The 17,478-nt window shown below is 41.3% G+C and overlaps 1 protein-coding gene and 1 long non-coding RNA gene across 10 annotated transcripts in view; one reads left to right on the forward strand and one right to left on the reverse strand.

Annotated features, from left to right (window-relative positions):
• Window positions 1–795: 795 nt before the first annotated feature.
• LOC124903361 (uncharacterized) lies at window positions 796–9,488 on the forward strand. Its single transcript, XR_007064305.1, has 2 exons — window positions 796–2,371; window positions 9,004–9,488. It is a non-coding gene; the product is annotated as an uncharacterized LOC124903361 (long non-coding RNA).
• A 337-nt stretch (window positions 9,489–9,825) lies between these two features.
• Window positions 9,826–17,478, reverse strand: part of PPP4R3A (protein phosphatase 4 regulatory subunit 3A) — a 53,047-nt gene continuing 45,394 nt past the window's right edge. For all 9 annotated transcript variants that reach the window (NR_169193.1, NR_158976.2, NR_169191.1 and 6 more), the window contains 4 exons: window positions 15,053–15,195; window positions 14,367–14,557; window positions 13,699–13,925; window positions 9,826–11,187 (listed from right to left, as the gene is read on the reverse strand). Coding sequence is in view for 5 of the 9 variants with exons in the window: in XM_047431561.1 (XP_047287517.1) it covers window positions 11,077–11,187; window positions 13,699–13,925; window positions 14,367–14,557; window positions 15,053–15,195 (672 nt within the window). In the remaining 4 variants the exon portion in view is untranslated. The remainder of the gene's footprint in view (window positions 11,188–13,698; window positions 13,926–14,366; window positions 14,558–15,052; window positions 15,196–17,478) is intronic.

Consider the following 17,478-nt stretch of genomic DNA (forward strand, 5'->3'; position numbering starts at 1 on the left):
AGGCCAAGGTGGGAGAATCACTTGAGCCCAGGAGTTTAAGACCAGCCTGGACAACGCAGTGAGACTCCCTCTCTACAAAACATAAAATTAGTTGGGCACGGTGGCACACGCCTCTAGTCCCAGCCACTTGGGAGGCTGAGGTGGAAGGATCACTTAAGCCAGAGAAATTGAGCCTGCAGTGAACTGTGATCACGCCACTGTACTCCACCCTGGGTGACAGAGCAAGACCCTGTCTCAAAAAAAAAAAAGAATAAGATCTAAGATCTAGTATTTGATGGCACAACATTTGATGACTGTACTCAATAAGAATTTAATTGTACATTTAAAAATAACTAAAAGATTATAATTTGATTGTTTGTAGCACAAAGGATAAATGTTTGAGGTGATGATACCCCATTTACCCTGATGTGATTATTACATATTTTATGCCAGTGTCAAAATACCTGCATATACCCTATAAATATATATACCTACTGTGTACCTATAACAATTAAAAATTTTAAAAAAGATTCTGTTCTCTAGATCTACTCTTGGTATTAAAATAGGTATTAGTGGCTGGGCGCGGTGGCTCATGCCTGTAATGCCAGCACTTTGGGAGGCTGAGGCAGGCTGATCACGAGGTCAGGAGATCGAGACTATCCTGGCTAACACTGTGAAACCCTGTCTCTACTAAAAATACAAAAAATTAGCCGGGCGTGGCGGCGGGCGCCTGTAGTCCCAGCTACTGGGGAGGCTGAGGCAGGAGAATGGCGTGAACCCGGGAGGCGGAGCTTGCAGTGAGCCGAGATTGTGCCACTGCACTCCAGCCTGGGCGACAGAGTGAGACTCTGTCTCAAAAAAAAAAAAAAAAAAATAGGTATTAGTTTGCTAGAGCTACCATAACAAAATACCACAGACTGGGTGGGTTAAACAACAGAAATGTATTTCTTCACAAATCTGGCGTCTGGAAGTCCAAGATCAAGGTGTTACCAGGATTGGTTTCTTCTGACACTTTTCTCCTTGGCTTCTAGATGGTCAGCTTCTCCTCCCTATGTCTTCACATAATCTTCCTTCTGTGTCTGTCTGTGTCCTAATTACCTCTTCTTAAAAGTATACCCCAATGACTCATTTTAACTTAGTTACCTTTTTTTTTTTTTTTTTTGAGACAGAGTTTTGTTCTTTCGCCAGGCTGGAGTGCAGTGACGCGATCTTGGCTCACTGCAACCTCTGCCTCCTGGGTTCAAGCAATTCTCCTGCCTCAGCCTCCCAAGTAGCTGGGACTACAGGCACACGCCACTAGTTACCTCTTTAAAGACCCTGTCTCCAAATACCATCACATTCTGAGGGACTGGGGGTTAGCACTTCAACAGACGAATTTTAGGTGTACTCAGTTCAGCTTGTAACAATATCCGTGTTGCAAATCAGTTGACCATAGACACATGGTTTTATTTCTGAACTCTCTCTTCCATTTCAATTGATCTCTATTTTATATGCTAGTACAACACTGTCTTGATTGCTCTTGCTCTGTAGTAAGTTTTGAAATTTGGAAGTGTGGGTCCTCCTACTTCTTCTTCTTTTTTTTTTTTAGAGATTGTTTTAGCTATTTTGAGACCTTTGCAGTTCCAGATGAATTCTAGAAGCAGCTTTTCAACATCTACAAATAAGTCAGCTAGTGATTCTGATGGGGATTGCATTCCGTCTGTGGATCAAGTTGTGGAATATTGCCATTTTAACAATATTAATCTTTCAATCCATAAACATGGGATGCATTTCCATTTATTTAAATCTTTAATTTTGGCCAGGCCTGGTGGCTCATGCCTGTAATCCCAGCACTTTGGGAGGCTGAGGCAGGCAGATCACTTGAGGCCAGGAGTTTGAGACCAGCCTGGCTAACGTGGAGAAACCCCATCTCTACTAAAAATACAAAAAAACAGCTGGGCGTGGTGGAGTGCACCTGTAATCCCAACTACTCCGGAGGCTGAGGCACGAGAATCGCTTGAACCCAAGAGGTGGAGGTTGCAGTGAGCTGAGATCGCGCCACTGCACTCCAGCCTGGGTGACAGAGCAAGACTTTGTCCCCAGACAAACAAACAAACAAAACTTTAATTTCTTTCAACAATGTTTTTTAGCTTTCAGGGTATAAACTTTGGACTTCTTTTGTTAAATATGTTTGTATCTTATTTTTCTTTATGCTATTGTAAATGGAATTGTCTTCTAAATTTTCAGATTATTCATTGCAAGTGTATAGAAATACAACTTTTTTTTTTTTTTTTTTTGAGTCTCTTGTTGCCCAGGTTGGAGTGTAATGGCGCGATCTCGGCTTACCACAACCTCCGCCTCCCAGGTTCAAGCGATTCTCCTGCCTCAGCCTCCCAAGTAGCCAGGATTACAGGTATGTGCCATCATGCCCAGTTAACTTTGTATTTTTAGTAGAGATGGGGTTTCTCCATGTTGGTCAGGCTGGTCGTGAATCCCAACCTCAGGTGATCCGCCCGCCTTGGCCTCCCAAAGTGCTGGGATTACAGGCATGAGCCACCGCGCCCAGCTTTTTTTTTGAGACGGAGTCTCACTCTGTTGCCCAGGCTGGAGTGCGGTGGCGCAATCTCGGCTCACTACAAGCTCCACCTCCCGGGTTCATGCCATTCTCCTGCCTCAGCCTCCCAAGTAGCTGGGACTACAGGCACCCGCCACAACGCCCGGCTACTTTTTTGTATTTTTTAGTAGAGATAGGGTTTCACCGTGTTAGCCAGGATGGTCTCGATCTCCTGACCTCACGATCTGCCTGCCTTGGCCTCCCAAAAGTTCTGGGATTACAGACGTGAGCCACCGCGCCTGGCCCCAGAAATACAACTGATTTTTGTATGTTGATGTTACATCTGCAACTTTGCTGAACCTGCTTATAGTTCTAAGAGTTTTGTATGAATTCCCTAGGACTTTGCATGCAAGATCATGGCATCCACAAACATCTACAGTTTTACTTCTTCCACTTTTTTTTTTTTTTTTTTTTTGAGGCACTGTGTTGCCCAGGCTGGAGTATGGCGGTGTGATCTTGGCTCACTGCAATCTCCTCTGCCTCCTGAGCTCAAGTGATCCTCCCACCTCAGCCTTTTGAGTAGCTGGGACCAATAGGTTCATGCCACCATGTCCAGCTAATTTTTTTTTTTTGAGATGGAGTCTCACTCTGTTGCCCAGGCTGGAGTGCAATGGCACGATCTCAGCTCACTGCAACCTCCGCCTTCTAGGTTCAAGTGATTCTCCTGCCTCAGCCTCCAGAGTAGCTGGGATTACAGGCATGCACCACTACGCTTGGCTACTAATTTTTTAAAATATTTTTTGTAGAGAAGGGGTTTCGCCATGTTGGCCAGGCTGGTCTGGAACTCCTGGGCTTAAGCCATCCACCCTCCTTGGACTCCCAAAGTGCTGGCATCACAGGGATGAGCCACTGCACCCAGCTACTTTTTCCTTTCTAATCTGATGCTTTTCATTTAATTGTTTTACCTAAATTGGCTAATACCTGCAGTACAATGTTGAAGAGGCAAGAGACACTTCTTGTTTCTGATTTTAGGTGGAAAACATCTAGTCTTTCACCATTATCATGTTAACTCTAGATTTTTCTTAGATGCTCTTTATCTGGTTGAGTTTGTGTAGTGTTTTTATCATGAAATGGTGTTGAATTTTGTCAAATGCTTTTTCTGCATTTATTGAGATAATCATGTGGTTTTGTATTTTAATCTTTTGATATGGCTTATTACATTAATTGATTTAAAGATGTTAAACCAACCATGCATTCCTAGGATAAATCCCACTTGGTCATGGTATATAATTCTTTGTTGCTGGATTCAGTGTCCTAGTATTTAGTTGAGAATTTTTGCAACCATATCCAGAGATACTTTGTAGCTTCCTCTTCTTGTGATATCTTTGTCTGGATTTTGTTATTAGGGTAATACTGATCTCACAGAATGACTTGGGAAGTGATCCCTCCTCTTCTGTTTTTTGGAAGTTTGTGAAGAATTGGTAAAATTCAGTAATGAAGCCATCTGGACTCCAGGGTTTTCTTGTGTGTGGGGATAGTCTTTTGGATTACTAATTCAATCTTTTCACTTGTTATAGATCTCTTCAAATAGTGTTTCTTCTTGAGTTTCAGAAGTTTGTCTCTAAGAATGTGTCCATTTCATCTGAGTTATCTAATTACTGGCATACAATTATTCATACTACCAACCTTCAAGGTTGGTAGTAATGTCCCAACCAAGTGTCTTTTATTTCTGACGTTAATAATCTGAGTCCTTTTTTTTCTTGGTCAAGCTACTGCTTCTGTGAACAAGCAGGAGTGTGTTTTTTCCCTCCACTCCAAATGAAATCTATCCTGCTTAGTAGAACTACCCAGCTGGTTGAGCTGAGGGATTGGGAGTGGGGAAGTAAGGCGGCTTCGGGGGATGGGAGTAGCCCCAGGCCAAAATTCTAGATAGACTCCCACTGTTCTTACCCAAGATTATTATTTTTTGAGACAGGGTCTCACTCTGTCACCCAAGTGGGAGTGCAGTGGCATGATTACAGCTTGTTGCAGCTTTGACTCCCTGGGCTGAGGTCATCCTCCTACTTCAACCTCCGGAGTATCTGGAACTACAGGGATGTGCCACCATGCCCAGCTAATGTTTGCATTTTTTGTAGAGGTGGGGTTTCACCATGTTGGCCAGGCTGGTCTCGAACTCCTGAGCTCAAGTGAGCTGCCTGCCTTGGCCTCCCCAAGTGCTGGGATTACAGGTGTGAGCCACTGCACCTGGCCCACCAAGATTGTTTTCTTAATTTGTTATATGTCTTTGGTTGATTTCTACAGTCCTGAAATGGTTGGTTTTGGCAATTTTGCTGTTTTGTTTTTTGAGACAGGGTCTCTGTCACCCAGGCTGGAGTGCCGTGGTGAGATCATGGCTGTCTGCAGCCTTAAACTCCCCCGCTCAAGTGATCCTCCCACCTCAGCCTCCAGAGTAGCTGGGACTACAGGCACACCATCATGCCTGGCTAATTTTTGTATTTTTTGTAGACAGGGTTTTGCCATGTTGCCCAGGCTGGTCTCAAACTCCTGGGCTCAAGCAATTCTCTTGCCTTGGCCTCCCAAAGTGTTGGGATTACAGGTGTGAGCCACTGTGCCCGGGCAATTTTGCTGTTTTAACGTTGCTGTTTGGGGAGAGATTTGCCAAGTTCCTCACTCAGCCATTTATGGATGTATAATCTTAATCAATATATTAATTCCCACTGCATAGACTATGAATGACTCCTAAAAGTAGATAATTTACAGACTTGTTTGGACTATATTAATATATATTAAATAGCTACTACTTATTGAGTACCTACCATTGGGATAGCTGTTTTATATACACATATATTCCACAGCCCTCATGTTGTTTTGTGGATATTATTCCTATCACAAATGAGAAAACCAAGGCTAAAGGAGCTTGCCTAAGATCTTATTAGCAGAGTAAGAATTTAAACCCAGGCCTTTCTATGCTCTTGCTATTCCATTTTGTCCACTTTTCACTGCTGCCTTACCAGGAAAAGCGTTCTTAGAATCAATTTATCAATCAACATACAAGCATGGAACACATATTGTGGGATTTCCTGAGTGCTGATTTAGCCTCTTTTATTTTGCACCCCAACCCCTATCCCATTCCAGTCTTCCAAAGTAGGCCCTTGAAGGGCTTGAATTGGGGGTTTTGGGTGAAAGGTTTTCACTAATTCTTCATTCTCTACCTTTGTTGAAAGCCACCCTAAACATTCCAAAGGCCAAATATTTCTGGGCTCTTAGTTTTGGAGAGATTTTTACCTCTCACAGTATAAGCCAATCAGAATTATCTTGGAGGTTGGTTAATAAAGTATTATTATTTCCTCACCTTCCTTTAGAGCAGTGATCCCCAACCTTTTTGGCACCAGGGACTGGTTTCATAGAAGACAATTTTTTCACAGACCAGGGTGGGTGGGGGGATGGTTTTGGGATGATTCAAGTGCACTTACATTTATTGTGCACTTTATTTCTACTATTGCATTGTAATATATGAGATAATTATACAGCTCACCATAATGTAGAATGAGTGGGAGCCCCAAGCTTATTTTCCTGCAACCAGACCATCCCATCTGGGGGTGATGGGAGACAGTGACAGATGCCTTGCATGTGCAGTTCACAATAGGGTTTGCGGTCCTGTAAGAATCTAATGCCACTGCTGATCTGACAGGTGGAGCTCAGGTGGTAATGCAAGCAATAGGGAGTGGCTGTAAATATACAGCTTTGCTCGTTTGCCTGCTGCTCACATCTTGCGGTGTGGCCCAGTTCCTAACCATGGACTGCTGCTGGCCTGTGGCCCGGGTATTGAGGAACCAACCAGCTCATACTAGGTCTGGTGATGAAAGTCCTACTTAGGGGTAAAGACCTATGACCAAAATGAACGCTGAGCTGAGGAGTTAGAGGTGCTGGGGCAGAGATGAATAAACCAGGAAAGCTTAAAGAAGCAGGACTGTAGGAATTGTTGATGCAACAAATGTTATGCCAAGGGGGTATTTTGGGCTTTTAGAATTACCCTAAGGTCTCTTTCTAGCTGCAGTTCATTAACAAAAGAAAAAAGAATTACCCTAAGGCTCATGGGTACAAAGGATAGGAAATTTTGTGGTCAAGAATAAGTCAAACTCTTGACTGTTTTAAGAGCATCAGCTGCTTTCCTAGTCTGTACTCTGTGTGCACATTATTCAGTCTTTCCTTCATTTACTCAGATTACCCAAAATCTGCCTGTGGGTTCAGTATCATGCTATATGCTAGGGATACAAAGTTGAAAAGGATATAGCCCCTTCCTTCAAGAAATGAGTGGGGGTATCAGGGGATCACTTTTGAATGTTGAAAGAATTTAAGTTCATCAGCAGTCAAGGCAGAGAAAAGAGCAGTCAAGAAAAGGGGCACAGTGCAGGTAAGGGCAGATCCTTTAGAGCACAGCATGATTGTGTCAAGGACCTAACAAGAAATGTGGTCTGGTCAGAGCTTGGGAAGTTGAGTGCACAAAGGTGGAAACCTAATGAATCCCAGCATTGAAGGGGTAGAGAATGGAGACGTCAAATTTGAGACTGGCCTGGGCAACATAGTGAGATCCCATCTCTTAAAACAAACAAAACCCATGGTGGCACGCACCTGTAGTCCCAGCTACTAGAGTCCTGGCTATTAGAGAGGCTGAGGCAGGAGGATTGCTTGAGGCCAGTTCAAGGCTGTAATGAGTGATGATTGTGCCACTGCACTCCAGCCTTGGCAACAGAGCGAGACCCTGTCTCTTATCACCACCACTCTGGGCAACACAGTGAAAACCAGTCTTTACAAAAAAATACAAAAATCAGCCAGGCGTGGTGTCACATAACTAGTTCCAGCTACTCGGGAGGCTGAGACAAGAGGATTGCTTGAACCCAGGAGGTCAAGGCTGCAGTGAGCTGTGCTCGCCCCACTGCACTCCAGCCTGGGCAACAGAGGCCCCATCTCCAAAAAAAAAAAAAAAAAAAAAAAAAAAAAAAAAAAAAGTTAAAACACATGTGTAGAAACCAAGACAAAGATATCAAAAAAAACAGTGGTTGGTAGCTAATGCTGCCTCAGCGTCAAATAATAGAGAACGAAAAAGGATCCAATAAACCTGCAGGTAGGATGTTACTTATACCAGAGCACTTTCTTTGAAATGGTAGGAGGCAGAGGAAATAAACAAAAGCCCATCTGGCCTCATGTTGAAGTAACCACTATTTCCTCTGAGTACATGGAAGAAGAACCTTTTATCCAGGAGACTGAAAAGGGTCAAGGAACGTTGTGTCTCCAACAAGAACTATTTGAAGAAATGAGACATTTGACTCCAGCGTTAACATACTCAGCTGAAAACAGGATCTCTACAGTTTTCTTTCAGATTCATCGTTCTACAAAGCCAAAATAAGATATTAAGGCTGAAGAAATAAAAACTGAAATTAGCATTGGGAATCACAATATACTGATGACTCTCATTTCCTCATATGCTCTCAAAGCCCCAGTGTAATGGTAAATAGTCCATACATAAAAATGTCTATAATCTTTCTTGAAATAACATTGTCAGAAAAAGTTAATATAATCTGAATAAAAGAATTTTGAGGGCCTAATTTTTCCTCCAAAAAGAACTCTGACAATGCTGTTTTAGCAGTTATTTATGGTTAAATACCAGAAATCTGACAACCTGAAAAAATTTCCACTTAAAATCTTCCAGTTTAAACTTGTTGCCATTCTAATCTTGCAGCCTTTACAATGACCAATTGTTAATTAAGAACAAATAGTAGGGAATGTTTTCCCCTGCTCCATGCCTCCCCTGCATTTCCAAATTCAAAAAGATTGACTTGCAAATTGGAGTTCTGGGAAAAATTAGATGCAAGATCTGAGTATAATTGGGCAGAAAAAAAAGACACATCATTCTATTAAAAAGATGTCAAGGTGTTTCCTGCAATAATTATAAATCTTTTTCAGAAACTGTTGAGTTCACTCTGGGAGGTGAAAATGTTTTCATTTTAAACACTGCAAAATGACCGAAAGAACCAATTGGTATCGTTAAGGTGGGAAATAATTTTTAACTACATTCGTGTCAGTTACCAAGATAGTATCTTTGATTAAGGGTTTGGACTTTTGGTCAGGCATGATGGCTCACACCTGTAATCACAGCACTTTGGGAGGCCAAGGCAGGAGGACCACTTGAGACCAGGACAACATAGGGAGATCCCGTCTCTACAAAAAATAACCAATTAGCTAGGCATGGTGGTGTCCCTTTGGTCCCAGCTACTTGAGAGGCTGAGGGAGGAGGATCAGTTGAGTCTGGGAGGTCAAGACTGCAGTGAGCCATGGTCATACCACTGCACTCCAGACTGGGTGACAGAGTGAAACAAAGTATGGACTTTTGAGTCAATGGAACTGTGTGTAGTGTTGTATTTCTAGCAATTTCTAACAGTATTCCTTCATAAGATGACAAGCTGTTTCTAACCTCATTTCTCCTGTTTTAGGAACACTTGTGTCAGGTTTCTATTTCAGTAACCATAATCACTAATAACTAAGGGAACACAAAAGTCCATCAATGAGAAGTCATCTCTTAACTGTGGAAGGCCAGCAGTTAATATACTGGACCACAAAATGAAATCAAGTGATGCAAGTTCTTCCCTCAATCTAAGAACCTGCAGAATACCAAGACAAGTGTTTCAAGAATCATCCAGAAAGGTCAGTTTTAAACTATATGTTTAAAGCAGAAACATTACTTGGCATGGGGCTTTCTAGGTAAAAAAGGAAGACATAATATAATTGGCTTAGATCCTAAGAGTTTTTCTTCTCTTTATTTGCAAGATAAGTTGATTAACTTCAATTATTAATAGCCAAAACTTGTGCCTCCTAATTAGATCTATACTCTAGTGAGATATAATCTCATAATTAAGCACCCAAAGTTTTTGTTGTTAAAAAAAATTATCAGCCAATAATAAAACTTTTAATGACTGTAGCAAGTTGACACTTTCTGGTTTTCTATCCAACTATGCAGTATAGTCTTGTTTTTGGTACCACCATTGTAATTTACTGAGGAATAAACAAGACAAGACAGAGAAGCACACAGCGCTTGCTAGATACTCTTAAAGTATATGATACTTAAAATAGCATCCTTTCCTGGATATGAAGTTTTATTCACATTTGAAAATATATTCTTAAGTTCTAAACTCTTCACTTTAAAAAGTGAGGGTAAGTAGAATTATTTTCATTTTCCTTGAAATAATTTGATCACATCTAAGACAACAAAAAGAACCTATTTAAAAATACTGTTTTAATAAGGTGACAGGTGATGGTCCTCTGGCCAGGTATTTATTTAGAAACCACCACTTACAAGTCAAACTGGTATTCCAAAGGGAGTAGTTAAAAACAAAAACAAGAAACATACAACTAATACAATTTCTCTTACTCTTCACTTTTCTTTTTATTATTCAAAAGTCAAATGTTTTTAAATCATCCATCCTCAATTTTGATTTAATGTACCGTCATTTCCCCAAGAAAAGAAATTTCAGAATCTCTTTGGAATACTAATTTCATGTTTCTAGATTTAACAAAACTGTTGAAGTTTTAAATTCCATTCTATTTCCCTGAATTCTCAAGACAGTTGCTGATGTAAATTTTAATATAAAATATTTAGTCACAAAATAGTATTGCTTTTGTATGCACATAGTTGTAAGATTACTTTGCTTTTGTCAATAAAAACTATACCATCTTTCATAAAACTCTAAACAAATTAAGAACTGTGATGTAGAACAAAAATTACACATGGTAAAACAGGTACCAGCACAACGTTAGGTTATATTACATCAAAAAAAGTTTTAATGGTCCCAAATATATATACTCAACAACTAAGCATACACTCAGGGGAGGAAAAAAAAAATCAAAAACAAAATAAAACAAAAAAATTATGACACAAATGACCACATCTAGAATTCCACTCAATCTTTAATCAAGTAGGGAGAAGTCCCCACTTAAAAAAAAAAATATCTGCAGTTTGAAGGGCAAAGGGAACAGTTAAAAAAGAGGAAAACTTTATACTCGCCCCTCCCCCACAGAGGTTTTCCAAACCTGTTGTAGCTTGACTAAAATGTTCAGAATGTATGATTTTAAAGGCAGGTCTCTTTATACAAAGAAACTGCTGGCATTCTTGACTAGTGAAGAATTATGGCAGAAAGGCCCATTCTTCTGAGTCTCAAACATGGTCCAAGAAAGCATATTCTGATTGTAGCAACTGACCAGTCAATCCAGAGTTCCACTTACAAAACCCCTGCCCTGTTGGCTTTTTGTTTCCATTTCCTTCCCTGAGAAAAGGGCAATGTGTGGTCCAAGCTGGAGAGCTCAAAGGCTTAAGTCTTTCCCCTAAATATATGATATCCCCTCCTCCTGCTCCATTGAATTGGCACTTGATGAGCAGAAGTCAAGTGTAAGAGGCTGATCTGTGTCAGTCATTCACAAGAGACCACTGCGCTTTGTTGTGGATTTTGTATGGGGGAGGGGTGGAGAACCAGTTTTTTTCAACAGGTACTGATCCTAGGCCGTTGCCATTATTATGAATCAAATTTTGCTTTCTTTGACAATGGTAACGTATCTTCCTTATCTTCATCCTCATCATCATCTTCATCATCATCAGGATAATCTACCAGACCCACGAGGCCTCCCTGTTAAGAAATAAGGATTATTTAAAGAACAGAAAATAAAACATATAAAAACACTGGTGTTTTCTGGCTGGAGAAAGAAAATAGATCCTACCAACATAGTAACGGTGGTTATTTCTGGGTGGTGGGACTGTGTTAAACTTCAATTCATTATGTTTACATATTTTCTAAATTTCCTGTAATAAACATGCATACTTTTTTACAATAAGGGAAAACTTTGAGTTAATTAGAATTAAAGCAAAAATTTTTTTTTTCCAAGTCGGAGTCTCGCTATGTCACCCAGGCTGGAGTGCAGTGGTGCGATCTCGGCTCACTGCAACCTCCACCTCCCAGGTTCAAGCAATTCTCCCTGCCTCAGCCTGCCGAGTAGCTGTGATTACAGGCGCCCGCCACCACGCCTGGGTAATTTTTGTATTTTTACTAGAGACAGGGTTTTGTCATGTTGGCCAGCCTGGTCTTGAACTCCTGACCTCAGGCGATCCACCTACCTTGGACTCCCAAAGTGCTGGGATTACAGGCATGAGCCACTGCACCCAAACTAAAGCAAAAAAATTTAAGTAGTTTATAATCCTAGCAAATTACCCAGGAGTTAGAAAATGAATGAAAAATGTTTGTTTCAAGACTTAATAGCATCTTAAAATTTTTTTAAACATAAAGTCTAAAATAGTATAAAAATGAGGCTGAGCATGGTGGCCTGTGCCTGTAATTCCAGCACTTTGGGAGGCTGAGGCGGAGGGATCACATGAGGACAGGAGTTTGAGACCAGCCTGGCCTGTTAATTAACATAGTGAAACCCTGTCTCTAATAAAATTACAAAAATTAGCCAGGTGTGGTGGTGCACATCTGTAATCCCAGCTACTTGGGAGGCTGAGGCACAAGAATCGCTTTAATCTGGAAGGTGGAGATTGCAGTGAGCTAAGATCACGCCACTGCACTCCAGCCTGGGTGACAGACTGAGACTCTGTCAAAAAAAAAAAAAAGTACCAAAATGAAAACTGCAGCAGATAAAGAGACCACCAGAAATGAGGGTAGACAGGCTTTTTCTATTTATTAGAGGTTAGGAAAGCAGTTCTACCCTGACTCTTCCTCATCATTTCATCTGGGTTTCCTTTTAGCCCTGCTCCTTCACCAGAAACCACTGCCGCTTGCTTTATTTATTTTTTGAGATGGAGTCTCACTCTGTCGCCCAGGCTGGAGTGCAGTGGCGCCATCTCAGCTCCCTGCAAGCTCCACCTCCCGGGATCACACCATTCGCCTGCCTCAGCCTCCTGAGTAGTTGAGACTACAGGCGCCCGCCACCACACGCGGCTAATGTTTTTGTATTTTTAGTAGAGACGGGGTTTCACCGTATTAGCCAGGATGGTCTCGGATCTCCTGACCTCGTGACCCACCCCCCTGGACCTCCCAAAGCACTGGGATTACGGGCGTAAGCCACCGCGCCTGGCTGCTGCTTGCTTTATTTCGATGCTAAGGGAAAAATTCACACTGCTCTGCTCTCAAGCCTGCCTCTTCATTTCAGCGTGTCTCAGATTCACTTCTTAGCCGTCAGGAGTCTCCAGCTCACGCCAGAAAAAAAAAAGACTGAATGGGCATTACGTGTCTGATTTAGATCAGTGATTCCCAAATGCCAGTCTTTTAACTGCTAGTCTGCTAGCCCAATAATCAATATATTATGTCTCAAAAGAAAAGGGTGGTTGGCATAAGGAGCCCCCAAAACTGGTTTTATTCTGAGATTGCATGTTTTCTACATTTTTTCTTAAGATTTTGTTCCTTTTTTTTTTTTTTTTTTTGAGATGGAGTCTCGCTGTTGCAGTAGCGATCTCAGCTCACTGCAAGCTCCGCCTCCCAGGTTCATGCCATTCTCCTGCCTCAGCCTCCAGAGTAGCTGGGACTACAGGCGCCCGCCACCACGCCTGGCTAATTTTTGTATTTTTAGTAGAAACGGGGTTTCACCACGTTAGCCAGGACGGTCTCGATCTCCTGACCTCGTGTCCTGCCCGCCTCAGCCTCCCAAAGTGCTGGGATTACAGGCGTGAGCCACCGTGCCCAGCCCTTGTTCATTTCTTATATGAAATGTTAGTGATAGTAGATGTTTAATTTTCTTAACAAACCTTAACTGGCAAAGTAAAGTTAGAAGTACCCAGATATTTAGATTATCATTTCCCCACAAAGGCTTTATCTGGGTATTAGTTAGGAACATTTATTCAAGAATAACTGAAAACCTTGAACATTTCTGTAAATGTTTTGACATACAAATTTGAAGTTTCAGTTCTAAAATCCAAAATACCCAAGTGAGAATTCACACTATATGCAGACTTGCATTGGTCATAAAAAAAACTTTCAGAAATTTCTCAACCTTTATATAAGTTCAAGCGGTGGGGGGGACTCATCCTCTAGTTCAGGGATGTTAAATCAGTTCTAGGTGGCAGTAACCAAAGGGAATCTTAGTCAAAATTATTGTTGAGAAAGCTTCAATTGGGAAAAAAGGGGGCAAAATGGGAGTCAAGAATGTACCTTTGTAGTAATAGCTGCCGTCTGAGATGTATTTTTAGGTACGGATCCAGGAGAGCCTGGAGATCCTGGGGATCCAGGTGATCCCGGAGAACCAGGCAGATTTGTTGTAGATGACTGGCTGGTGAGGTTAGTCTTCGTTCCACTGGACAGGGAAAGCTTGAAACTTGGGCTCTGCCGTCCAGAAAGGTTTGTTTTCAGAAGCACTTCCTTTTCCTCACTTTCTTTTACTAAAAATGAGAATACTGTCAATAGTCGTCCCCCATACTTCTTTTTTAAATTTCCCCAAATGAGGTAACACTAAAACACATTTAACTAGCTTACTACGCTGGGTAGAAACATTGAAGTTCAATTTATAAAAGAAGCTTACCAAAATACTAACCACAATTCCATTCATTGGATCTTACCCCAGAGAAGAATTGAAACCTTCAGAATCATATTTAGTATCCCTACCCTTCCTGAAATAGTATATTCCTTATTCAACTCAAATTAAGAAAACTTAAGTTTATGCCTACACAACACTGCTATTCAGTCACATCCCATAAAGCAATAGAGTCTTTAAACCGTATGCCATCACACCTTCCAAGCAAATAATCATTTTGTCAAGAAATAAGAATAAATCTAGAGTAAGAAAGCCTTAATTTTCTCTTGCCCATTTTTTTCCAACATACATTTCTTCCTTTCCATGAATTTACTTATTGGATCCATAATATCATCATCATTTTTAGTTTTGTCAGATGGAGACACTACAGCTTCTCCATCTTCCATGTCATCTTCATCTGTGTTAAACCACATCTCTTCTTCATCTTCTAGTGTTCTGGCATCTCTTCGATATCTGTGATTCCTCAAAATGGAACGCATACTATGAGTAGGGAAGAAAGAGTAAATACAATCATATATGGACTTAATTGTACTGTTACAGATGACTTATTAAACTTGTTAACATAGGGAATTAACATGAAATTTACAAATATTAAAGTATCAATGTAAATCCAGGTATTTAGATTAATGTACAAAATTTTAAATAATAATTTGTAACCTTAGTAACTTGTAAATTCAAAGCAAGTAATATAATCCTCTGATTTTATTTGGAACACATGAAGCCTCACTTCCACTGTTTGGTCTTTTTTTTTTTTTTTCCCTTATCTAGCCTGATACATGCCTGAGGTATTATACTAATAACCAGCCTAATCTTCAGGGAAACATTTATGTTGACCCTTACAGGAAGCTACAATTTCTATTTGCTATCTGCTGATTTCCCTGTTCCTTGTCAAGCCAAATAATATCAAATAAACAATAAAGCCACTACCATACGACTTGATGCTGAACGAATAGGTTTAAATATATGGTAATTTACCTGTCAAGTTTGGGATTATCTTGCCTTTCTCTTTGTTGTTCAAATCTCAGTTTTAATCCTTTAAATGTCTGTACATAATCTACATCTTCCAGTGCTTTCCAGTAATTTTCAATTACATGAGCAGTTAATGATTTTATATCTTCCTACAGAAAAGAATAGTAATGAAAAAATGATAGGAAAATGTCATTTTAGCAAGATGAGGCTTAATTTAATCAATTCATACCCACCAAAAATAGCTTAATTTAATAAAACTACATAATCTTAGAGATAACCAAACAATAAAAAATGGGAATAACGTACACTGGCTACTATAGTAGTCCCCAATTTATCTATGGGTCTTTTTTTTTTGAGATGGAGTTTTGCTCTTACTGCCCAGGCTGGAGTGCAATGGCATGATCTCGGCTCACTGCAACCTCTGCCTCCTGGATTTAAGCGATTCTCCTGGCTCAGCCTCCAGAGTAGCTGGGATTACATGCATGCACCACCACGCCTGGCTAATTTTGTATTTTTAGTAGAGATGGGGTGTCTCCGTGTTGGTCAGGCTGGTCTCGAACTCCCGACCTCAGGTGATCTGCCTGCCTCGGCCTCCCAAAGTGCTGGGATTACAGGTGCGAGCCACTGCACCCAGCTATCTATGGGTCTTTACAAAGTAAATGCCCAGGTCTTGCCCTAGGTGATTCTGATTCTGATGTGCGGGCTGGGTATGTGTATTTTTTAGAGATGGGGTCTCGTTCTGGCACCTAGGTTGAGATATAGTGGTATGATTATAGCTCACTGCAGGCTTGAACTCCTGGGCTCAAGCAATCCTCCCACCTCAGCCTCCTGAGCAGCTAGGACTATCGGCATGCACCACCATACGGGGCTAAGTTTTAACAAAAAATTTTTGTAGAGATGGGGTCTTGATATGTTGCCCAAGCTAGTCTCTAACTCCTGGCCTAAAGCAATCCTCCCACTTTGGCCTGCCAAAGTGCTGGGATTACAGGCATAAGCCACTATCCCTGGCCATGGACATATATGTTTTATTAATTAATTTTTATTTTAGGTTCAGGGGGTCCATGTGCGTATTTGTTATACGGGTAAACTGCGTGTCACAGGGGTTTGGTGTATAGCTTATTTCATCACCCAGGTAGTAAGCACAGTACCCAATAGGTAGTTTTTCAATCCCCACCTTCTCCTACTCTCTACCCTCAAGTGGCTCTGGTATCTGTTGTTGTTCCCTTCTTTATTTCCATGTGTACTCAAAGTTTAGTTCCCACTTACAAGAGAGAACACACAACAGCCATGCGTATTTTAAAAGCATGTCACAGGCCGGGTGAAGAGGCTCATGCCTGTAATCCCAGCAGTTTGGGAGGCCAAGGTGGGCAGATCACCTGAGGTCAGGAGGTTGAGACCTGCCTGGCCAATAGTGAGACCCTATCTCTACTACAAATACAAAAATTAGTCGGGTATGGTGGCGCATGTCTGTAATCCCAGCTACTCTAGAGGCTGAGGCAGAAGAATCGCATGAACCTGGGAGGTGGAAGGCGCAGTGAGTCGAGATCATGCCACCGCACTTCAGCCTGGGTGACAGAGTGAGACTCTGTCCCCACCCCCCTCCCTCACCCCCCAAAAAAAGCATGTTACAGAAAAGTTCTGGAGATGAATAATGGTGATGGCTGCCAACAATGTGAATGTTTACTTTAAAATGGTTAAAATAGCAAGTTTAATGTTTTATATTATTTTATCCCAGCTTTTAAAAAAGCACGACATCCAGGTACTGTGGTATGCACCTCCAGTCTCAATTACTTGTGAGGCTAAGGTGGGAGGATCGTTTGAGCCCAGCTGGGCAACATAGCAAAACCCTGTCTCTAAGAAACAAACAAAACAAAAAGCCATGCCAGATAAATTTGCACAGCATCAATGAGAACCACTAGCTTATTACATTACTAGAGAATAAAGAGTATTATGAAATTGGTCTTTAGAAATGTGTAAGTTAAGAAAAACACATTCAAATGCTTATCTGTCAAGTGTAGTTTTGCTTTCTTAAAATGATTACTGTGACCATCCTACAAAGCAGCAGTCCCTAACCTTTTTGGTTTCATGAAAGACAATTTTTCCACCAACTGGGGTGGGAGTGGGGGAGCACAGTTTCAGGATGAAATTGTTCCACCTCACAGTTAACCAAAGGGTTCATGCTCCTAGGAGAATATAATGCTGCTGCTGATCTGATAGGAGGTAGAGCTCAGGCAGTAATAATGCCTGCTTGCCAGCAGCTTACCTCCTGCTGTGCAGCCTGGTTCCTAACAGGCTATGGACCGGTCCGCGGCCAAGGGGTTGAGGACCCCTGCTATAACAGATTTGTAGCTGCTGAGAGGTAAGATGTAGCTTGACTCAAATCTCTCACAGGCTTTTAGTACTTTTTTTTTTTTTTAAATCTCTCCAAATAT

Source organism: Homo sapiens, chromosome 14 (assembly GCF_000001405.40).
Source record: "Homo sapiens chromosome 14, GRCh38.p14 Primary Assembly".
NCBI classification, from domain to species: domain Eukaryota; kingdom Metazoa; phylum Chordata; class Mammalia; order Primates; family Hominidae; genus Homo; species Homo sapiens.